This window comes from Homo sapiens, chromosome 4 (genome assembly GCF_000001405.40).
Source record: "Homo sapiens chromosome 4, GRCh38.p14 Primary Assembly".
NCBI classification, from domain to species: Eukaryota; Metazoa; Chordata; class Mammalia; order Primates; family Hominidae; genus Homo; species Homo sapiens.
Window position 1 is genome coordinate 165030844 of NC_000004.12, and position 22768 is coordinate 165053611.

General features: G+C 43.9%; 1 protein-coding gene across 3 annotated transcripts, besides 1 other annotated feature; it reads left to right on the top strand.

Moving 5' to 3' along the window:
- Positions 658-1314: an enhancer, noted in NCBI's record as "H3K27ac hESC enhancer chr4:165952653-165953309 (GRCh37/hg19 assembly coordinates)". NCBI's record gives its function as "activates a minimal SCP1, AML or CMV promoter by ChIP-STARR-seq in primed H9 embryonic stem cells {active_cell/tissue: H9 hESC(primed)}" and the evidence as "EXISTENCE:reporter gene assay evidence [ECO:0000049][PMID:30033119]".
- TRIM60 (tripartite motif containing 60) lies at positions 1156-10906 on the top strand. Of its 3 annotated transcripts, NM_001258025.2 has the most exons (4): positions 1156-1269; positions 8358-8409; positions 8599-8772; positions 9226-10906. In NM_001258025.2, exon 4 carries the CDS (start codon positions 9230-9232, stop codon positions 10643-10645), a length of 1416 nt encoding a protein of 471 aa, NP_001244954.1. In that variant the 5' UTR covers positions 1156-1269; positions 8358-8409; positions 8599-8772; positions 9226-9229; the 3' UTR covers positions 10646-10906. The 3 variants fall into 3 exon arrangements, with proteins under 3 accessions (NP_001244954.1, NP_689833.1, XP_011529985.1); NM_152620.3 differs by lacking the exon at positions 8599-8772; XM_011531683.3 differs by lacking the exons at positions 8358-8409; positions 8599-8772.
- The last annotated feature ends 11862 nt before the right edge of the window (positions 10907-22768 follow it).

Here is a 22768-nt window from a genome sequence, read left to right on the forward strand (position 1 = left end):
CTTGGCCTCCCAAAGTGCTGGGATTGCATGTGTGAACCACCGCGCCTGGCCAAGTAGCCCTACATTTTAAACAGAAAAGTGCGCCGGCCAGGCGCGATGGCTCACGCCTGTAATCCCAGCACTTTGGGAGGCCGAGACGGGTGGATCACGAGGTCAGGAGATCGAGACCATCCTGGCTAACAGAGTGAAACCCCGTCTCTACTAAAAAATAGAAAAAATTAGCTGGGCGTGGTGTCGGGCGCCTGTAGTCCTAGCCACTCGGGGGGCTGAGGCAGGAGAACAGCGTGAACCCGGGAGGCAGAGCTTGCAGTGAGCCGAGATCGTGCCACTGCACTCCAGCCTGGGCAACACAGCGAGACTCCGTCTCAAAAATAAATAAATAAATAAAAAAGTGCTATGCCGATTCTATGACTTCTTCTGCAAATATTAGCCTCTTTCACTGTCTCATTTACCAAGTTATAAGACTTAAGAGGCTCCTCACAAGGACTAATCCTTCAGCCTTGAAGATTTTACCGTCAAGTTTGTCCAACAAACTCATACTCGTCCCTTAAAATCTACTTTAAATATCAATTCCTCAGACGAGACCTTGGTGAGTCTTAGTTGGTAGGGTGGGGCCTAATCTCCAGGGTGGTAACTACGCAGCCTCTCAACCAGAGACGCAAACTGATCCAAAGAGCTGATTATTCCTCTTGCATTTTAAAACTAACCACCCTGGCCGGGCGCGGTGGCTCACAGCGAGGCAGGCGGATCGCTTGAGCCCATGAGTTCGAGACCAGCCCGGGGAACGTGGCGAAACCCAGTCTCCACCAAAAAATACAACAATCAGCTGGGCGTGGTGGCGCGCGCCTGTGAAGTGGGAGGATCGTTTGAGCCCGGATGGTCGAGACTACAGTGAGCCGAGACCGCACCAGACCCTGTCTCAAAAAAAAAGAAAAAAAAAAAGTTGCTCATAGGAATGAAAAATCTGAAAAGATTGCCATTGTGATTTAAATGACCCACTGAAGCCATCAGGGACCCCACCACGGAGGGAACCGCCCTAGGCTCTCCTCAGAATCTTCTCACGCTCCCTGCACCCTGCGGCATTGAGCATGCTCAGGCCTTTCCCGCCCACTTCCGGTGGAGCAGCCAACCACCGCGCTGGTCAATTGTATGCCTAAAACTCGAAAACCAAGGCGCCCAGGGTTGTGTGAGGGTTTCCGCTCTGCGCCCCGCGGGGTTCCATGGGTCCTGCACAGCATCAGGCCTGAGCCGCCGGTCCAACTGCTCCAGGTAAGCTGGGAGGGCCGCAGGAAAGGCGCAGTAGGGCCTGGCGGGAGGCTTACTTAACTGGGCAGGGGCTTCCTGAGTATCAGCTGTGCCCAAACCTCGGGGTCGCGACCTGTCCACGACTGAGCTCAGACTGTGGATCCTTTTTTTTGTTTCTGAGACGGAGTCTCGCTCTGTCACCCACGCTGGAGTGCAGTGGCGCAATCTCGCCTCACTGCAACCTCCGCCTCCCGGATTCAAGCGATTCTCCTGTCTCAGCCTCCTGAGTAGCTGGGATTACAGGCGCTCGCCACCACACCCAGCTAATTTTTGTATTTTTAGTAGAGACGAGGTTTCTCCATGTTGGCCAGGCTGGTGTCGAACTTCCGACCTCAGGTGGTCCGCCCGCCTCGGCCTTCCAAAGTGCTGGGGTTACAGGCGTGAGCCACCGTGCTCGGCCGGATTCTGTTTTCGCCGCGGAGGCAGTGGGACCCCGATGATTGAACTTTAAAGAAGATTCTGATCTGAACACCAGTTTGGGAAGTGGCCACGTGATCTCCAAAAATTATGGTGGGAGCGTTAAGGAAGGACCTCCCACCCTACAGCGCCAGCACTTCTCTGGCGGATTTTGTCTCCTTCCGTCCTCACAAGGATCTGGCTGTCAGGAAACTGCTACGGATGAGAAAGTTTAGGCTCACTTACGTTTCGTATCATCTAAAGTAATAGAGGTTGAATCTTGAGATCTGGGAATCTCCCACAGGTTTGATTTATATTCACTGAGCCCACACTATGAACCAGCACAAGAATCAGAGTAGGAGCCAGGCGCGGTGGCTCACACCTGTAACCCCATGAGGAGGCCGATGCGGGAGGATCGCTTGAACCCAGGAGTTCTAGCTCACGCTCGTGCCTGGGCAACATAGTGAGACCCCTGTCTCTACAAAAAAAAAAAAAAAAATCCGGGCATGGTGGGGCGTGCCTGTGGTCCCAGCTACTCGGGAGGCTGAGGTGCGAGGATCGCTTGAGCCTGGAGGCAGAGGTTGCAGTGAATGGAGATCGCGCCACTGCACTCCAGCCTTGGCGACAGAGTGAGATCCTGTCTCAAAAAGTAAAATAAATAAGGTAATAGAGGTTGAATTTTTCTTTTTTAATGTGACAAGATCTCAAGCAGTAGAGGTTGAATTTTGAGAGTAGGGAATCTACTGCAGGTTTGATTTATTAGCCTAATAATTATTGAACACACGTTGTACACCAGCATAAGAATCAGAGTTGGTAATTCAGTTGTGAGGAAAATAAGGAAGAATTCAGACCGTGAACTGTACTCTCCAGTGTCCTTAACCAAAGGTTGACAAAAATAAATGTAAAAATCTCAACTGTAATCTGCAGTATGATAGATATGTGGAGTCAGGAAAAGAGTAAAGTCCAGATGTTGGTGAGTCTTGTAATACTTAAGAGTAAGAAAAGCCATTCCATTGGAAATCGGAAGGTTATAGGATTAGATCTGTGTTTGGAAACTATAGAGTTATGGAATTGATTGACGGGATAGAGCATGTCAAAAATAAAGCCAGACACTGGGTAGTCATAAGGACAGATTTTAATCAGTACTGTACTATTGCAATAGGGAGAATTCAGCATGAACAGAACTCAACTGTGATTTGTACAGAGGTGACCAAGTGCTTCAAAGGGGAACTGGGGAATGAAGGTAGTGAGTTGGCGCTCAGTAGAGTCAGGGAAGTGAAAAATTACAAAAAGTGGGAAAGGGGTGGTTGGGTCATGTGAAACACACCCAGGTTTGCTCACTGGCACTTAAGGAAGTCAGGCCCCAACTCTCCCATAGATGCTGGGAGACAGGGGCCTTGTCTTCAGGTATCAGAAGATAGTTACTATAGTAGGCTAATGTTTATAGCTTGGACTGAGAAGAGTGGCTTATAATGCTGTTCTTTAAACTTCATTGCCTGAGTCTGGAAGATGGGTTAGGGGAAGCTGGAGTGTGTGGGGAAGGACGAACCATTGAGTTCCAGGATCTATGCAGGAATGTTCCCTGCACCTTTTTATTTTAAATGAAATACACTTTTTTTTTTTTTTTAAGATGACTCTCACTCTGTCGCCCAGGATGGAGTGCAGTGGCGTGATCTCGGCTCACTGCAACCTCCACCTCCTGGGTTCAAGCAATTCTCCTGCCCCAGCCTTTCTGAGGAGCTGGGATTACAGGCGCACGCCACTACACCTGGCTAATTTTTGTATTGTTAGTAGAGACGGGGTTTCACCATGTTAGTCAGGCTGGTCTCGAACTCCAGACCTCATGATCCACCCACCTCGGCCTCCCAAAGTGCTGGGATTACAGGCGTGAGCCACTGCGCCCGTCCATGAAATACCCTTTTTTACAGCAATGTGGTTCTTTCTTATAATTTAAAAAATTCCAGTCATATTTTGCAATGTATTGGCTGTACAGCTTTGTTCAGAATGCTTAAAACTTCCTTTTCAAATTTACTCAGCCCCAAAGCATCCATTAAACATGGTGTGTTAAAACAAGGATTAGGAGCTTTTGCAATGACATTGTTATTTATGAAAATGTTAAATTGGAAGGTGGGAAGAGTTAAAGGACACATTATTATTTTATTTTAATTCCTTATGATTGAAAAATATTATAATTTTTAAGATGTAATAATACCTTACTGTCCCTTCAAAATTGGAATGTACATGACATTTTCTGCCCGACTACTGCTATGAACAGTTAACACCTTTTCTAATTAGGAGCAGTGAGAGATATAGTAGCTTTTAGACCAAAATAGTACTATACTATACATACTACGACAGTTAATGACATAAATGTAGGCAGTTTGGCTAGATTTCTAAATGCACTTTTCACTTGGAAATTTTATAAGATTTTGTAATAATACCTGTATTAGTATCCCCAAGACCACCCCTAGGTTTGGTGATTTGCTAAAATGACCACAGGAGTCAGCATAGTATTATTTGAGGTTATAACTTAATTTTTTTGAGGTATCTCTCTCTGTCACCCAGACTGGAGTATAATGGCACAATCATGACTCACTGAAGCCTTGAACTCCTGGGCTCAAGGAATCCTCTCACCCCAGCCTTCTCAGTGCTGGCACTATAGGGACATGCCACCATGCCTGGCTGATTTTCATAAAATTTTGTAGAGATGAGGTCTTGCTCTGTTGCCCAGACTGGTCTTGAGTGTCTGGCCTCAATTGATCTCTTGCCTCAGCCTCCCAAAGTGCTGGGATTACAGATGCGAACCACCGTGCCTGGCCAACAATTATGGTTTATTATAGTGAAAGGATACAAAGCAAAATCAGCAAAGGAAAATGGTGTGTGGGATGAAGTCTGGATGAAACCAAGCGTAAGCTTCCAAAAGTCCGCTCTGCGTGATGTCACACAGGACCTGCTTAGTTTCTCTGAAGACAAAGTGATAAATGAGTGAACTGTTACATACCAAAGATGCTCATTGAAGATTTGTCTTTCCGGAATTTTTATTGGGAAGAGATCATGCAGGCTCCTTCCTAGCTTATATCAAAATTCTAGTTTCTCAGAAGGAAAGCAGCTATTCATCATAAACCTCATTGTTTGTATAAACACTGTAGGTGTAGTAAGCCACTCTTTTTTCTTTTTTTCTTTCTTTTTTTTTTTTAGACAGAGTTTTGCTCCTGTTGCCCAGACTGGAGTGCAATGGTACTATCTTGGCTCACTGCAACCTCCGCCTCCTGGGTTCAAGCGATTTTCCTGCCTTAGCCTCCCAAGTAGCTGAGATTACAGGCATGTGCCACCACACCCAGCTAGTTTTTGTATTTTTAGTAGAGACAGGGTTTCATCATGTTGGCTAGGCTGGTCTTGAACTCCTGACCTCAGGTGATCTGCCCGCCTTGGCCTCCCAAAGTACTGGGATTACAGGTGTGAGCCATGCACCCGACCAATAGTGAGCCCTTCTTATAAGGGAATGGCAGGATCCATTTCCTCATAAGTTCCTTATAAATTCTGGAAATCAAAGTTGCCAGACAAGAGCCAAGTAGCAGCCTTGCAAGCAACCTTCTAAGGGTGGCAGTCTTAGGCCTGCTGTGCTCATTCTTCCGCACAATACCACTTGGTGAGCATCTGTTCTGGGTCAGGCACTGTAACATCCTTACATTTTTTTTTCATTTAATGCTTTCAGCTTTCTGAAATAGAAACAAACTCAGAGAAATTAAGTTAGTTGATCAATGACATATAGATGTAGGTAAGTGAATGTTGGAGTGAAACACCCATCTCATTAGAGACCGCTACCTAATAATTTGTGTGATATCTGTTTACATCATCTTACATGTTTGCTTGTTTTTTTAAGTTTAAAAAATCTTAATTTCCCCCTCATTAGATTATTTGATATAGTGACAAATTGTGGATGTCCATCCAGGTGGGTTAAACAGAACACTATATGAAGCACTTTCATAAAGGTTTTCAAGGCTATGCACTAATGTGAATAGAAGAAAAGATGGTGTGCTTAGGCCGGGCGTGGTGGCTCACATCTGTAGAGACTTTCTCATCTGTCTCACTTTGAGACACTGAGGCAGGCAGAGCACTTGAGGTCAGGAGTTCAAGACCAGCCCAGCCAACATGGCGAAACCCCGTCTCTACTAAAAATACAAAAATTAGCCGGTCATGGTGGCAGGCACCTGTAATTCCAGGTACTGGGGAGGCTGAGGCAGGGGAATCGCTTGAACCTGGGAGGCAGAGGTTGCAGTGAGCCGAGATCGTGCCATCGCATTCCAGCCTGGGAGACAAGAGTGAGACTCTGTCTCAAAAAAAAAAAAAAAGAAAAAAGAAAAAAAAAGACTGGGCACAGTGGCTTACGCCTGTAATCCCAGTTCCCAGCACTTTGGGAGGCTGAGGTGGGTGGATCACCTGAGGTCAGGAGTTCGAGACCAGCCTGGCCAACATGGTGAGACCCCATCTCTACTAAAAATACAAAAATTAGCCAGGCGTGGTGGTGTGTGCCTGTAGTCCCAGCTACTTGAGGCTGAGTCAGGAGAATCGCTTGAACCCAGGAGGCGGAGGTTGCAGTGAGCCGAGACTGCACCATTGCACTCCAGCCTGGGCAACGAGAGCAAAACTGTCTCAAAACGAAACAAAACAAACAAACAAAAAAACGGATAGCGTGCTTAGTGATTTAGTATCACACCAGTAGTCACACCAGTTAGTATTAGGACTTTGGATACGCCTATCAAATCATTATACTTTTTTTGTTTTGTTTTGTTTTGTTTTTGCTAAGTCTCGCTTTGTTGCCAGGCTGGAGTGCAGTGGCGGGATCTTGGCTCACTGCAACCTCTGCCTCCCGGGTTCAAGCAATTCTCCTGCCTCAGTCTCCTGAGTAGCTGGGACTACAGGCATGTGCCACCATGCCCAGCTAGTTTTTATATTTTTTAGTAGAGATGGGGATTCACCATGTTGGCCAGGATGGTCTCCGTCTCTTGATCTCGTGATCTGCCTGCCTTGGCCTCACAAATTGCTGAGATTACAGGCATGAGCCACCACCTCCTGGGCTCAAGCAATTTTCTTGCCTCAGCCTCCCAAAGTGCTGGGATTACAGGTGTGAGCCAATGTGCCTAGCTCCTGTTTCATTAAATCTAAGATGAATGATTCTATTCATATTAGAATAATTCTGAAATGGGCTGAGTGCAGTGGAGCTCTCTTTTAATTTTGAACAGTTTCCCAACCTAAATTTTATCTTTTGTAACATTGACATTATTCTCTATTTGTATTATTTTTGGATTTTATTCATTCATGTATCCACTTGTTCATGATTCACTTTCTTGAAGATCTTTACTGATTTTCTACTACCTCCCTATGAATAAGGTAGACTAAGTACCTACTTCCAGTCTATCTCATTCACCAGCTAAGGCCAAAAGACAAATACCTGAAGAAAAGAATCTCAGATTATGATTGAGTTCTATGAAAGTAAAGAGATGGGATAGTGAGAGACTAGAGGGTGGGGTGGGAGGCAGTCAGATTGATGAGCAGCAGATAGGATTTGTGAGGTGACCCGAAGGAAAAGAGAGGTGTTTATAAAGATCATGACCCCTTCACCAGTATATATTTAAGCATGTATTTCCTAAGAATGAGGACATTTTCTTTTGCAGCTATGGTGCAGTTAGGAAATTCAGGAAGCCTAACTTTGATGTATTACTAATATCTAATAAATAGTACATACTCCATTTTTTCAATTTGTCCTATACTATCTACTTTATTGCAACTTTTTTTTCCCAGTCTAGAATTCAAGCTAAGAGAATGAATTACATTTTTTTTCCCCTCATATGTAAGGAAACAGGCTGGGCATAGTGGCTCACACCTATAATCCCAGCACTTTGGGAGGCCAAGGTGGGAGGATTGTTCAAAACCACCCTGGCCAACACAGACCCCCATCTCTACAAAATATTTTAAAAATTAGCTGGGCCTGGTGGCACAAGCCTGTGGTCGTGGTTACTCTGCAGGCTGAGGCTGCAAAGAACCATGGTCATACCACTGCACTCTAGCTTGGGTGACACAGAAAGACCCTGTCTCAAAAAAAAAAAAAAAAAAAGCCTGCTTTTTTTCCCAGCACTGTTGTCATTTGTGCTGTTGAGAACCATTTTCGTGTTGAATCTTGTATGATTTGGATTTCTTCATTGTTATATATACATACATACATTTTTATATATAGTTTTATATTATAGGCCAGGTGCGGTGGCTCACACCTGTAATTCCAGCACTTTGGGGAGGCCAAGGAGGGCAGATCACATGAGGTCAGGAGTCTGAGGCCAGCATGAAACCCCGTCTCTACCAAAACTATGAAAATTAGCCAGGCGTGGTGGTAGGCGCCTTAATCCCAGCTTCTTGGGAGGCTGAGGCTGGAGAATCACTTGAACCTGGCAGGCAGAGGTTGCAGTGAGCCAAGATCGTGCCATTGCACTCCAGCCTGGGTGGCAGCGAAACTCCATCTCAAAAAATAATAGCAATTGTATGTTATATATAATAGAATTTTATATATAATACACAATTACATATAGTAGAATTTTATTTATTTTATATATATATTCTGCAAAAGTTCTCTATAGATGGTAATGCTTTGCTCCCCATTGCAGGTCATCAGTTTGCCCCATCATTGGTTAAGGTGGTATTCTCTACATTATAAAGGTACTTATTTTTCTCTTTGTAATTAAAATATAATCCTAGAGTAAAATTTTGAGAATGTGAATATCATTCCCCCATAAAATTTTACCCAGTAGTTTTTACAGTTAGTGATGATTCTTGCCTGAACCAGTTATTATATTGTGATTCCAAATCCAGGAGATTTTGAAATTAAAAATCTTTTCTCATCCACAGGGATGACCGCTGTATTATAACCTGTGGCTAGTTTATTGAAGAAGAAAATCATTACACTTAGATTCAGACGGGCTCGGCCGGGCGCGGTGGCTCACGCCTGTAATCCCAGCACTTTGGGAGGCCGAGGCGGGTGGATCATGAGGTCAGGAGATCGAGACCATCCTGGCTAACAAGGTGAAACCCCGTCTCTACTAAAAATACAAAAAATTAGCCGGGCGCGGTGGCGGGCGCCTGTAGTCCCAGCTACTCGGGAGGCTGAGGCAGGAGAATGGCGTGAACCCGGGAAGCGGAGCTTGCAGTGAGCCGAGATTGCGCCACTGCAGTCCGCAGTCCGGCCTGGGCGACAGAGCGAGACTCCGTCTCAAAAAAAAAAAAAAAAAAAGATTCAGACGGGCTCATGTATAATAGAGCTGTAAGCTTTGAATTATTATATTATTATCCTCCAAGCTAAGGAGCAGTGGACTAAACAAGACTTCAGTGGGTGCCACCAGCATGCTAGGCTAGTGAAACCTAAACCTGATCAATCTACAAGGTCTGGGAGGGGTATCCACTTCTCACTGGGTTTGCGCTCTACGGAGGCAGGACTGATCAAAGGGAGGTTACCTTATGCATTACCTTTGTTCGCAGCTCGATGGAGTTTGTGACAGCCCTGGTGAACCTCCAAGAGGAGTCTAGCTGTCCCATCTGTCTGGAGTACTTGAAAGACCCAGTGACCATCAACTGTGGGCACAACTTCTGTCGCTCCTGCCTCAGTGTATCCTGGAAGGATCTAGATGATACCTTTCCCTGTCCTGTCTGCCGTTTTTGCTTTCCATACAAGAGCTTCAGGAGGAACCCCCAGCTCCGTAATTTGACTGAAATTGCTAAACAACTCCAGATTAGGAGGAGCAAGAGAAAGAGGCAGAAAGAGAATGCCATGTGTGAAAAACACAACCAGTTTCTGACCCTCTTCTGTGTTAAAGATCTAGAGATCTTATGTACACAGTGCAGTTTCTCCACTAAACACCAGAAGCACTACATTTGCCCTATTAAGAAAGCTGCCTCTTATCACAGAGAAATTCTAGAAGGTAGCCTTGAGCCCTTGAGGAATAATATAGAACGAGTTGAAAAAGTGATAATTCTGCAAGGCAGCAAATCAGTGGAGCTGAAAAAGAAGGTAGAATATAAGAGGGAAGAAATAAATTCTGAGTTTGAGCAAATAAGATTGTTTTTACAGAATGAACAAGAGATGATTCTTAGGCAGATACAAGATGAAGAGATGAACATTTTAGCAAAACTAAATGAAAACCTTGTAGAACTTTCAGATTATGTTTCCACATTAAAACATCTACTGAGGGAGGTAGAGGGCAAGTCTGTGCAGTCAAACCTGGAATTACTGACACAAGCTAAGAGTATGCACCACAAGTATCAAAACCTAAAATGCCCTGAACTCTTTTCATTTAGATTAACAAAATATGGTTTCAGTCTTCCTCCTCAATATTCTGGCTTGGACAGAATTATCAAGCCATTTCAAGTAGATGTGATTCTAGATCTCAACACAGCACATCCTCAACTTCTTGTCTCTGAGGATAGAAAAGCTGTGCGATATGAAAGAAAAAAACGAAACATTTGTTATGACCCAAGGAGATTTTATGTCTGCCCTGCTGTCCTAGGCTCTCAGAGATTTAGTTCTGGCCGACATTACTGGGAAGTAGAAGTGGGAAACAAACCTAAATGGATATTGGGTGTGTGTCAAGACTGTCTTCTTAGGAACTGGCAGGATCAGCCATCAGTTCTGGGCGGATTCTGGGCAATTGGGCGATACATGAAGAGTGGTTATGTTGCGTCAGGTCCTAAGACAACCCAGCTTCTGCCAGTAGTAAAACCCAGTAAAATTGGTATTTTTCTGGACTATGAATTGGGTGATCTTTCCTTTTATAATATGAATGATAGGTCTATTCTCTATACTTTTAACGATTGTTTCACAGAAGCCGTTTGGCCTTATTTCTATACTGGAACAGATTCCGAACCTCTTAAAATCTGCTCAGTATCAGATTCTGAAAGATAAGGAACTGGTAAATGGGTCTGTTTCAGTTTTTGTAGGTAACTTAGCCAGTAAATTTAATCTCATTTCTGGACTCTTTAAGTTTTACCACTGAAAACCAGAGTCGATTTTTCTCCTAAATTTTTGGCAACTATAAGATGTTCATAATGCCACTTTCATATATTCTATGAATATCAATTGTCAGGTGCTTTGATTTCTAAGATAAAATATTTTAGAATTATGTTACTTAACATGTCCAATAAAATGTTTTCAAATTGCCTATAATTTTTTTTTTTAGTTAAGCAAATTATTTAAAGTTGCATACATTATTTGAATATCATGCTTGCCACATACCTTTCTTTTTAGTGGATTCTTCTGTTTACCTCCATATTTCTCATAATTTGTTTCTGTTCTTTCGTGTGTCTCAGTTGAAACAATTGACTTATTTTTATGGGTAATGAGGATTTCACTTTGTTTAAATCCTTTCCGCACATATACTTACCTATGCACAATCCATAAATAATCTCTAACAGCAATTTTTTTCTTTCTGTATATCACCTGCCAATCTAGACCAACTACACTAGGCCAGTACACTTCCAGTCACTACCATTCTAGGAATTGACCTCTGCTCTTGGATTATTTCTTGGTTTAAGCCTCTGTTTTCCTCTTTATCTTTTCATTTTGGGGTGCCATCAACCCAAATGTTGCAGCGTTATAAAGTTTAGCAGACAACTAGTTTGCAAATGACTTTTCTCATATTTAGGTGACAGTTAAAGAGAATATTTGGAATCATTTTAATTTTTAAAACTTGATGGTTTTGACAAGTCTGATATCAGTCTGATTCTTGATGCTTGGATACCACTGTTTTTCATAATCAAAGGATTATGATCTTTTATAGCCCTAGTGTTTGAACTTTGTTTATTTTACTGAGTAATCAAAGCTTAGTTTAGTATCCCTTATCCAAAATGCTTGGAACCAGAAGTGTTTCAGCTTTCTGATTTTGGGGGGGATTTTGGAATATTTGCTTATGCACAATGAGATATCTTGGGGATGGGACCCAATTTGAAACAAAAAATTCATTTTATACACATAGCTTGCAGGTAATTATTTTAATAATATGCATGAAACAAAGTTTGTGTACATTGAACCCTCAGAAAGCAAAGGTGTCGGGTGTGGAATTTTCCACTTGGGTGTCATGGCAGCGCTCAATGTTTCAGATTATGGAGCATTTTGGATTTCATGTTTTTTGATTAGGGATGCTCAACGTCTGCCTTCAATTTGGAATTGTATTAGATGAGCGAAACAAAGGTTTCCATCCTTAAGCGGCATACTTCCTGGAGGGGAGAAAGGAAACAATAAAATAATAAACACAAAGAATTGCTATAGTGTGTTAGATGCTGATCAGATACTGTGGTGACAGGGAAAAGTAGGTCAATGTCACCTGTATGAGAGTGCTGTGCATGAAGGAGAGTTAGCTATGTGAAGTGGGTGGTCAGGGTAGGTATCTTGGAGAATGTGGAATCTGAGCAAACAGTTGAGGGAGTAGGCTTGGAAATAGCATCCTCATCAAATTTCATTTCAGAGTGAATGGCTTGAGAAAGTGTATGGGGAAGGGACTGTCAAGCTGTAATTGCAAGGAAGCCAGTGACAAGTAGTGAGTGAAGAAAAATACTGGAGTAAGTTCAGAGAGTAAGTATATTTCCTCTAATTTGATCTTGGGGTTTCTCCAGAGAGTGGCTATATGCTCCAGCCCTGTCCTACCTCAACTCCAGGGGATTTGGTAGTGGATATTTACAGGGTGCCTTTGATGGGATATTTCTTTATCCTGGTGGATGGCCTAATGCCTAAGTGTCCAATCTGTGACCAGGAGTCCCTCTCATAGGAAACTTGTTTATACTGGCAAACACCCTTGTGGCTCTTGTCGGACCTATTTCCAGCTTATTCATGCCAAGACTCTGTAGTCTTATTCTCCACTCTGTAGGAGAGCCCTGACCAGGAGAAAAGTTAAGTCCATGTGTTGGTAGAGTTTGACACAGAGGAGGCAACGCAACAAAAACACGTTAAATAACAGAAACAGTTTTATTACAGGTCCATGAGAGAAGATGGTACTGTTGAGGGCTGATGAGAAGGCTGCAGGGGCAGTGCTGCTCACCTAGCAGTTGAGGAGCCAGAGAGAGAGAGAGACCAATGGGCCAAGGCCTTTACTGCGGTCCAGTGCATTTCCCAAGGGACATTCTAGTTGGTGGATTTGGGATAAGCAGACATGAGTTCTGTGGGGTCACACTGTATGAGAGGTAGTCCTTGCAGCAAATGTGTACAGTCCCTGTGGGTTGTGCAGGTCAGTGGAGTGAGTCAAGTAGGTTTTATCTACATGTCCCATTAGGGAGGTGGTCACCAGGAGGCTGTTGTATAAGGCAGATACCTGGATCAAATACACTGAGGAACAGAAGTAGAAAACTGGTAACAGTATTAAGGGCAACCAAGCCCTGCTTATGGTATGAGAGAGTTAAACCCTTATTAAAAATGGATGTTTACAGCTCAGGAAGGCAAAAAATTAAAAAAAAAAAATGCTGAAGGCTGGACACAGAGGCTCACACCTGTAATCCCAGCACTATGGGAGGTCACTTGAGCCCAGGAATTTGAGACCAACCTGAACAACATAGTGGGATGCTACCTCTACAAAAAATTTTAAAAATTAGCCAGGCATGGTGGTGAGCACCTGTCGTCCCAACTACTTGGGAGGCTGAGGCAGGAGGATCACTTGAGCCCAGGAGGCCAACGCTGCAGTGAACTATAATTGCGCCACTGCACTCCAGTCTGGGTGAGAGAGTGAAACCTTGTCTCAAAAAAGAAAAAAGGAAAGAAATCATAGGAAAAATATATTTACTATTCATTAAGTGGAAGTAGATCATAAAGGTCTTCATCCTCATCATGTTCACGTTGAGTAGGCTGAGGAAGAAAAGGAGAAGTTGGTCTCAGGTAGCAGACGCAGAATAAAATCTGTGTAAGTGGATCTGCTCAGCTTGTACCCATGTTGTTCAAGAGTCAACTACACACTACATCATCTATGAATTATTCTTGTTGCGGTGGCTCACGCCTGTAATCCCAGCACTTTGGGAGGCTGAGGCGGGTTGATCACGAGGTCAGGAGATCGAGACCATCCTGGCTAACACGGTGAAACCCCATCTCTACTAAAAAAATACAATAAAAAATTAGCCGGGCGTGGTGGCGGGCGCCTGTAGTCCCAGCTACTCAGGAGGCTGAGGCAGGAGAATGGCGTGAACCCGAGGGGCGGAGCTTGCAGTGAGCCGAGATCGCGCCACTGCACTCCAGCCTGGGTGACAGAGCGAGACTCCCTCTCAAAAAAAAAAAAAAAAAAAAAAAAAAGTTGAATCTGAATTTAGCAAGCCTTTGTAACTAGCTCTCAGTTTACAGAAAATATGGGGGTCAAGGAATAAGTTAAGTGACCCAGGAAATGACACATAAATGTGTGAAATAATACAGGACAGTTACCTACTCTCCTCAACAAGGCAATGATATATTTTTAGTTGAAACCAATAAAATTTCTAAATGTAAAACATAAAACTTCTTTCAATCCAGATTTGAACAAACCAACTTTAAAAAGACATTTTATTTTATTTTATTTTATTTTTTTATTTTATTTTATTTTGAGATGGAGTCTTGCTCTGTCACCTAGGCTGGAGTGCAATGGCACAATCTAGGCTCACTGCAACCTCTGCCTCCCAGGCTCAAGCGATTCTCCTGCCTCAGCCTCCCAAGTAGCTGAGATTACAGGCACGTGCCACCACGCCCAGCTAATTTTTGTATTTTTAGTAGAGATGGGGTTTCACCATGTTGCCCAGCCTGGTCTTGAACTCCTGACCTCAGGTGATCCACCCAACTCAGCCTCCCAAAGTGCTGGGATTACAGGCATAAGCCACGGCGCCCAGCCAAAAAGACATTTTATGAGGCACTTGGGGAATTTTCAATACATATTAAGTATAAAATGATACCAAGGAGGAAGCATTGCTTGTTTTGTTAAATATAATAAAGTTTATTTAAGATTATACCCATATTTGTTGGAGTGGGTACTTCCCCCCATTGACAGCAATTAAAGGGAGGAGAAAACAGGAATTAGTGAAATCCTGATGAATGTTGAATGCTGATTGATGGAAATATGGGATTTTTAAATTATGTATTTATTTATTTTTATTTTATTTATTTCTTTATTTTGAGATGGAGTCTCACTCTGTTGCCCAGGCTGGAGTGCAGTGGCGCGATCTCGGCTCATCACAACCTCCACCTCCCAGGTTCAAGCGATTCTCCTGCCTCAGCCTCCGGAGTAGCTGGGATTACAGACATTGGCCGCCAAGCCCGGCTGATTTTGTATTTTTAGTAGAGACGGGGTTTCTCCATGTTGGTCAGGCTGGTCTCGAACTCCCAATCTTAGGTGATCTGCCCACCTCAGCCTCCCAAAATGTTGGGATTACAGGCATGAGCCACCAGGCCTGGAGACATTTCTACTGGTACCTTACCAATGAGGTAAGGTATCTCCATGATTACCTTCATCTACCCCCAAGAGATTGGGCCTGCCACTCTACGCCGCAGCCGTCCAGAGAGCGGCAGGCCTCGGCCTAAAGATCTGTAGGGTGAGAGACCTGCAAGACTCACAAGAGGGGAAGCCGACAGAGATACCTACCGACGGAGTGCTGTGCCCCCTGGTGCCAACAAGAAAGCTGAGGCTGGGGCTGGGTCAGCAACCGAATTCCAGTTTAGAGGCGGATTTGGTCGTGGACGTGGTCAGCCACCTCAGTAAAATTGGAGAAGATTATTTTGCACTGAATAAACTTACAGCCAAAAAAAAAAAAAAAAAAAGGAGATATTGTCATTTGTGACAACATGGGTGGACCTGGAGGACATTAGGCTGAATGAAATAAGCCAGACACAGAAATAAAACTATGGTGGCTGGGCGTGGTGCCTCACGCCTGTAATCCCTGCACTTGGGGAGGCTGAGGAGGGTGGATCACGAGATCAAGAGATCGAGACCATCCTGGCCAACATGGTGAAACCCCGTCTCTACTAAAAATACAAAAATTAGCCAGGCGTGGTGGTATGCGCCTGTAGACCCAGCTACTCCGGAGACTGAGGCAGGAGAATCGCTTGAACCTGGGAGGCAGAGGTTGCAGTGAGCCGAGACCACGCCACTGCACTCCAGCCTGAGTGACAGAGCGAGACTCCGTCTCAAAAGCAAAACAAAAAATAAATAAATAAAACTATGGTGTGATCTCACATATATGTGAAATCTAAGAAGATTGAATACATAGAAGCAGGGAGAATGGTAGTCACTAGGGGCTGGGAGGCGGGAGAGTGGGGAGATGCTGGTAAAACGGCACAAAGTTACCGTTATACGTGCTGTACAACTCTAGTCTCCTTTACCCAGATGATCACTACTTAGATCAAGCTTGTCCAACCCGCAATCCACAGGCTGCATGCGTCCCAAAACAGCTTTGAGTGCAGCCCAACATAAATTTGTAAACTTTCTTAAAACATGAGATTTTTTGCATTCATTTATTTATTTATTTTTTGAGAGAGTCTAGCTCTGTCACCCAGGCTGGAGTTCAGTGGCGCAGTCTCAGCTCACTGCAACCTCCGTGTCCTCTGCGTCTTTGCTTACTGCAACCTCCACCTCCCAGGTTCAAGCGATTCTCCTACCTCAGCCTCCTGAGTGGCTGGGATTACAGGCATGCTGCCACCACACCCGGCTAATTTTTGTATTTTTAGTAGAGATGGGGTTTCACCACGTTGGTCATGGTGGTCTTGAACTCATGACCTTGTGATCTGCCTGCCTCAGCCTCCCAAAGTGCTGGGATTACAGGCGTGAGCCACCGTGCCCGGCCCATTTTTGCATTTTTTTTAAGGTCATCAGCTGTTTGTTAGTGTTAATGTATTTTATGTGTGGCCCACGACAATTCTTCCAATGTGGCCCAGGGAAGCCAAAAGATTGGTTACCGCTGACTTAGAGTGAGGCCTTAGCTTGATCTTAGCCATTTCCCCAGGAAGCTGGGTCACACTAGGGGAGGTAAGCCTGTCATCTGCTCCTGTAGTCCACTGTTCTGCGGTATCAGAACACCCAGGACTGCGGGGTGCAACGGTTCATGCCTATAATCTCAACACTTTAGGAGGCCACAGGGAAATCTCTTGAGCCCAGGAGTTAGAGAGATCACCCTGGGCAGCATAGTGAGACCCCTGCCTCTACAAAAACATGGAAAAAATTAGCCAGGCATGGTGGCCCATGCCTGTAGTCTCAGCTACTCAGGAGGCTGAGGTCGGGGGATCACTTGAGACTGGGATTTGGAAGAGGCTGCAATGAGCCCTAATTGTGCCACCGTATTCCAGCACGCAGGTGAGGCAATAGAGTGAGACCCTGTCTGAAAACAAACAAACAAACAACAACAAAAAAAACACTCAGGACACCTAGTAAAATGGCTCTTGCAGTGTCTGTCCTGTGACTAGATTTATAAATGCCCTCCTCAGTGAAAGCAGAGGCCGAAGCTATCCAATCGTTTGACCAAAGCCTTAGTTAGCATATTATCTTGTACTCAACATAGTATCTTGTAATTGTTTATAAACAATTGAAACTAATTGAAATTGTAATTGTTTATAAACAATTGAAACATAGTATCTTGTAATTGTTTATAAACAATTGAAACTAATGAAAGGAATGCCACAGGACACAGCCCAGGGCACTGAAGAAAGTGTTGTGTTTTAAAGTAAAGATCTTTGACCCTGGAGGGGAAAAGATACAAATAGGACACTCAGAGGGAGTGGGAAGACTGGCTGCCTAGCTGGCCCTATTTCATTTCTGTAGGTGAGAAGATGGCATGTCCGGCCCTCTGCTGGCTCCCCGCCCCCGAAGGCCCCTCTTCCTATCAAGTTAACTGCATTTTTTCCCTCCCACACTTAATGACCACCCATCCCTCCAGGCCCCATTTTCTCTTTTCCTCCCTCTCACACGCTGGGCACCCCAAATCGCTCTACTTGGGCAGACTGGAGCTGTAAAAACAGCAAACTATTTAGATTCAACTATTTGGATTACATGGGTTGGAATCTAGACTTACTGCTTACTTCCTACAGGTGTAAGCTGGTTGAGAGAAATCATTTAACTGACAAGGATTCAGGACACAAGGAAAACACCCATCACCTCCCTGCCTTTTTGGAAACACAGGAAGAATGTAGAAAGCTAATGGGATATTTTGGTATTAAATAACACAGATTTCTTTGGACACAAAAATTCAAGATCTTCCAAACATTGATTTGCATTTTTTATCCTTGGGTCTGTTTGGTTTTCGGGCTGCTGATTATACTGAATGTTGTGCATAATGGACCATAGGTAAACAAGGCTGCCTTGGAAGTCTCTTCCTTATATGTAAATTCTATTTATATATAAAACTTAGAGACAGGTCTCTGTTGCACAGGCTGGAGTGCGGTGTCGAGACTGTAGCTCACGCCAGGCGCGGTGGCTCACGCCTGTAATCCTAGCACTTCAGGAGGCCGAGGTGGGCACATTGCCTGAGCTCAAGAGTTCAAGACCAGCCTGACCAACATGGAGAAACCTCGTTTCTACTAAAAATACAAAAATTAGCCGGCCGTGGTGGTGCATGCCTGTAATCCCAGCTACTTGGGAGGCTGAGGCAGGAGAATCGCCACTGCACTCCAGCCTGGGCAACGAGAATGAAACTCCAACTCAAAAAAAAAAAAAAAAGAAAGAAAGAAAGAAAAAGGAAGGAAGGAAGGAAATCCTTGCTGAAGTTGCAAGGAACTTTTCCCAAAATTTTAAAACAGCCTAAATATTGAGAGTAATTTAATAAATTATACTGTACTTACATGATGCTGTATGACCCTAAGAGGTACTAAATAGAGTATTTTATATATATATAATATATATAGAGAAAGTACTAAATGTATTCTCTAGAAAGAGGTTTATAATATACTTTTTGAAAAAATATACTGCTGCTGAGGCTGGAGGATCTCTTGAGCCCAGGAGTTCAAGACCAGCCTGGAAAACTTAGCAAGACTGTCTCTATAATTAAAAAAAATTAGCCAGAATGGTGGTCCATGCCTGTAATACCAGCTACTTGGGAGGCTGAAGAGGGAGGATTGCTTGAACCCAAGAGCTTGAGGCTGCAGTGAGCAATGATAGCACCACTGCACCCTAGCCTGGGTGACACAGCGACACTCCCTCTCTAAAAAAAAAAAAAAAAAAAAAAAGAATGTCTCAATATACATACTTTAGAATATGATTACAATCATCCTTCGGTATCTGCAGAGGATTGGCTCCAGGACTCCCTTGGATAACAAAATTCAGACGGATTCTCAAATCCCTTACAGTTTGCCTCAATATGGGTGGATTCTGCCTCAGCTGATGGAAAATATTCCACTAGTGATTGTTGAATCCTGGGATGCAGACTTTGATTTCCCGATGGTGTAGAAAAAAGAAAAGGGAAGAATCCCGGGATGCAGAACTTGGCAGATACTGAGGGCTGACTGTATTTTTGGGTGATAGTATTATGATTTCATATTCTGTGTGTTTAGATATTTTTATACTATGATGTTTGTGTAAAAATAATATAGATATTAATTCCATATATTCCATATATTTACATATATTCTTATTTTGTATTGTACTTGCTTTTTTTTTTTTTAATTATAAGAAATGTCAAAGCCAGGCAGAGTGGCTCATGCCTGTAATCCCAGAGCATTCGGAGGCTGAGGCAGGAGGTTCACTTGAGACCAGGACTTCCAGACCAGCCTGGGCAGTATACTGAGACCCCTGTCTCTAGGAAAAATGAAAAAAAATTAGCCTGGTGTGGTGGTGTGCACCTGTAGTCCCAGCTACTCAGGTGGCTGAGGCAGGAGGATCACTTGAGCCCAGGAGGTAGAGACTGCAGTGAGTCATGATCACACCACTGCACTCCAGCCTGGGTGACAGAGCGAGGTCCTGTCGATAAAACCAAGTACATAAATCCAATTTTATAAAAAGAAATTTCAATAATATGCACAAATAAAAAGAATAGCAAAGATCTCTTGAATCACTCAATTTCAACAGTCATGTACATGTGGCCAATCTTGTTTTATCTATACATGCTGGTCCTGACCTCCTATACTTAGACTCTTTTAAAGCTAATCATATCATTTGAAGACATCATATCATTTGATCCAAAGATACTTCAGCATATATCTCTAAAGGATAAAGAATCTTTTTAAAAATAATGGTAATATAGCCTGTAGTCCCAGCTGCTTTGGGGGCTGAAATGGGAGGATCACTTGAGCCTGGGAAGTCGAGGCTGCAGCAAACGGTGTTTGTACCACCACATCCAGCCTCGTTGGCAAAAGTGAGACCCTGTCTCAAAAAATGAAATAAAATAAAATAACAGTAATAGGCTAGATGTGGTGGCTCATGCCTGTAATCCCAGCACTTTGGGAGGTTGAGGTGGGAGCGTCAGAGGTGTCTGAACCAGAGCAACTCCATCTTGAGTAGGGGCTGAGTAAAATAAGGCTGAAGTCTACAGGGCTGCATTCCCAGACACTTACTTGTTCTAAGTCACAGGATGAGATAGGAGGTCGGCACAAGATAGAGGTCATAAAGACGTTCCTGATAAAACAGCTTGCAGTAAAGAAGCCGGCCAAAACCCACCAAAACCAAGATGGCGATGAGAGTGACCTCTGGTCGTCCTCACTGCTACACTCCCATTAGTGCCATGACAGTTTACAAATTCCATGGCAACATCAGGAAGTTACCCTATATGGTCTAAAAAGGGGAGACATGAATAATCCACCCCTTGTTTAGCATATCATCAAGAAATAACCATAAAAATGGGCAGCCAGCAGCCCTCGGGGTGCTCTGTCTATGGAGTAGCCATTTTTTATTCCTTTACTTTCTTAATGAACTTGCTTTTACTTTACTCTATGGACTCGCCCTGAATTCTTTCTTGCACAAGATCCAAGAACCCTCTCTCGGGATCTGGATCGAGACCCACTCCAGTAACAGGAGGATCACTTGAGGCAGGAGTTCAAGACCAGCCTGGGCGATATACTGAGACCCCATCTCAAGTTAAAAAAAAAAAAAAAGTAACAGTAATATCATAATCACCCTTTAAAAATTAAATGTAATTTAAGTATCATTAAATATCTTTTCTCCTTTCAAATTCCGCAGGCTGTCTCAAAATTTGTGTGTTTTAGAGTTAGTTTGTTTAATTCAGGCTCCAAACAAGATCTACAGATCAATGTATTCTTTTCTTAATACTAATAAGCAATGCCAGGGGCCAACTGTGATCAAATATATATGCACACACGTCCTCATATTACAGGTGAGAAAAATAAAATTCAAGGAGATTATAAATTACTTGTTCAAGGTTGAGGAGCTAATAAATGGCACAGCATGACTGAAATCATTTAGAATTGGGAAAGATATTAGTAATCTATTGATGAGATATAGGCTTGGGTCTCCTCTACAGACAAATGGTAGTGTAAGTCCCCGGGGTGTGTCTGAGAGCACACAGGGAGTATGTCAAGAGACAACCAGAAGACAGCACTCTACAATCCTCTGATGGTCTTCATCTCTATTTATTTGTTCTTTTCCCAGAAAATATTAAACATTTAAAATATACTATATTAAAACTCTATTATAGTTTAGAGGATTGAAAACATTCAGTTTCACTTTTTTGTTTGTTTGTTTTTGAGATAGAGTCTCACTCTGTCGCCCAGGCTGGAGTGCAGTGGCATGATCTCAGCTCACTGCAACCTCCGCCTCCCAGGATTCTCCTGTCTCAGCCTCCTGAGTAGCTGGGATTATGGGCGTGCACCACCATGCCCAGCTAATTTTCTGTATTTTTAGTAGAGACGGGGTTTCGCTGTGTTGCCCAGGCTGGTCTTGAACTCCTGAGCTCAGGCAATCCGCCCCCCCTCAGCCTCCCAAAGTGCTGGGATTACAGGCGTTAGCCACCATGCCTGGCCACTCAGTTTCATTTTTAAGACAGAACTCTCACTCATTTTGGCATTAAAACTCCTTTGGAGGAAAAATTGCTATATTTTGATTATTTCCTTTATAATCATATGGTGGGGCCAAAACCAAATGGAATCAGCTAATGGGTGGGAGGGACAGAATTGAGAAAGGATCACTTACCCTCAGAAATGTAAATTAATCCAAATAATCTGTTCTTTTACTTTGACTTCAGGCTCTGGGCTGATTACCTTTGGGAATTATAATGAGTGTTTATCTCTTGTCTCCCATTAGAGCCACTCTGGCCTTTGCCCCTGATACTCCTCTGAAATGCTCCCACGCATTTTTATCAGTCCCTTTACAGTTGTCCTGATCCCCTAGGAGCGGGACCCTGCTGTGGGCCCCGGACAGCTGCCCCTCAGTCTCTTTGGTCTCTTGGACAGATGACTCTTTCTCTGCCTGCCCCTTAGGACTCATGGCTTCTTGAGGATCTGTGTATGGCCAGTGTTGTCAATCTGTCTTCTGCTTTCACAGGACACACATGAAGCCAAACACAGCCCCCAGATTAGCATCCCAGGTGACAGCACTGGATTCTGAGGGGCGGGGGATGAGGGAGGACAGCCAGGGTCAGCTAACCAGGTGAGGGTTCCCAGGTGTCCCCAAGGAGGGTGTGTCAGAGCTCAGGGACACAGTGTGGGGCAGGACACCAGGACTTGATGGTGGATTTGTAGGGAGCAAAAGAAATGAGGGAAATCAGAGATGTCTTCTTGATTTTCTGCTTCAAATATTAGGTGAACAAAGATTCCATTGATTGAGGTGGAGAAGACTGGGAGACGGCCAGGTTTCTGGCTTCAGAGTTCAGGAGAAATCAAGATTCCTGTTTTGTTTTGTTTTGTTTTGCTTTTGAGACAGTCTCACTCTGTCGCCCAGGCTGGAGTGCAGTGGCGCCATCTCGGCTCACTGCAACCTCTGCCTCCTGGGTTCAAGCAATTCTCCCTGCCTCAGCCTCCCAAATAACTGGGATTACAGGTGCCTGCCGCCACACCCAGCTAATTTTTTGTATTTTCCACAGAGACAGGGTTTCACCATGTTGCTCAGGCTTGTAAGGGATATCTTTCAGCAGGTAGCCCAGTTGCAGGCTCTGGGTT

Coding starts and splice junctions, on each gene's coding strand:
- TRIM60 (NM_001258025.2), top strand. CDS start 9,230: ATGGAGTTTGTGACAGCCCTGGTGAACCTCCAAGAGGAGTCTAGCTGT.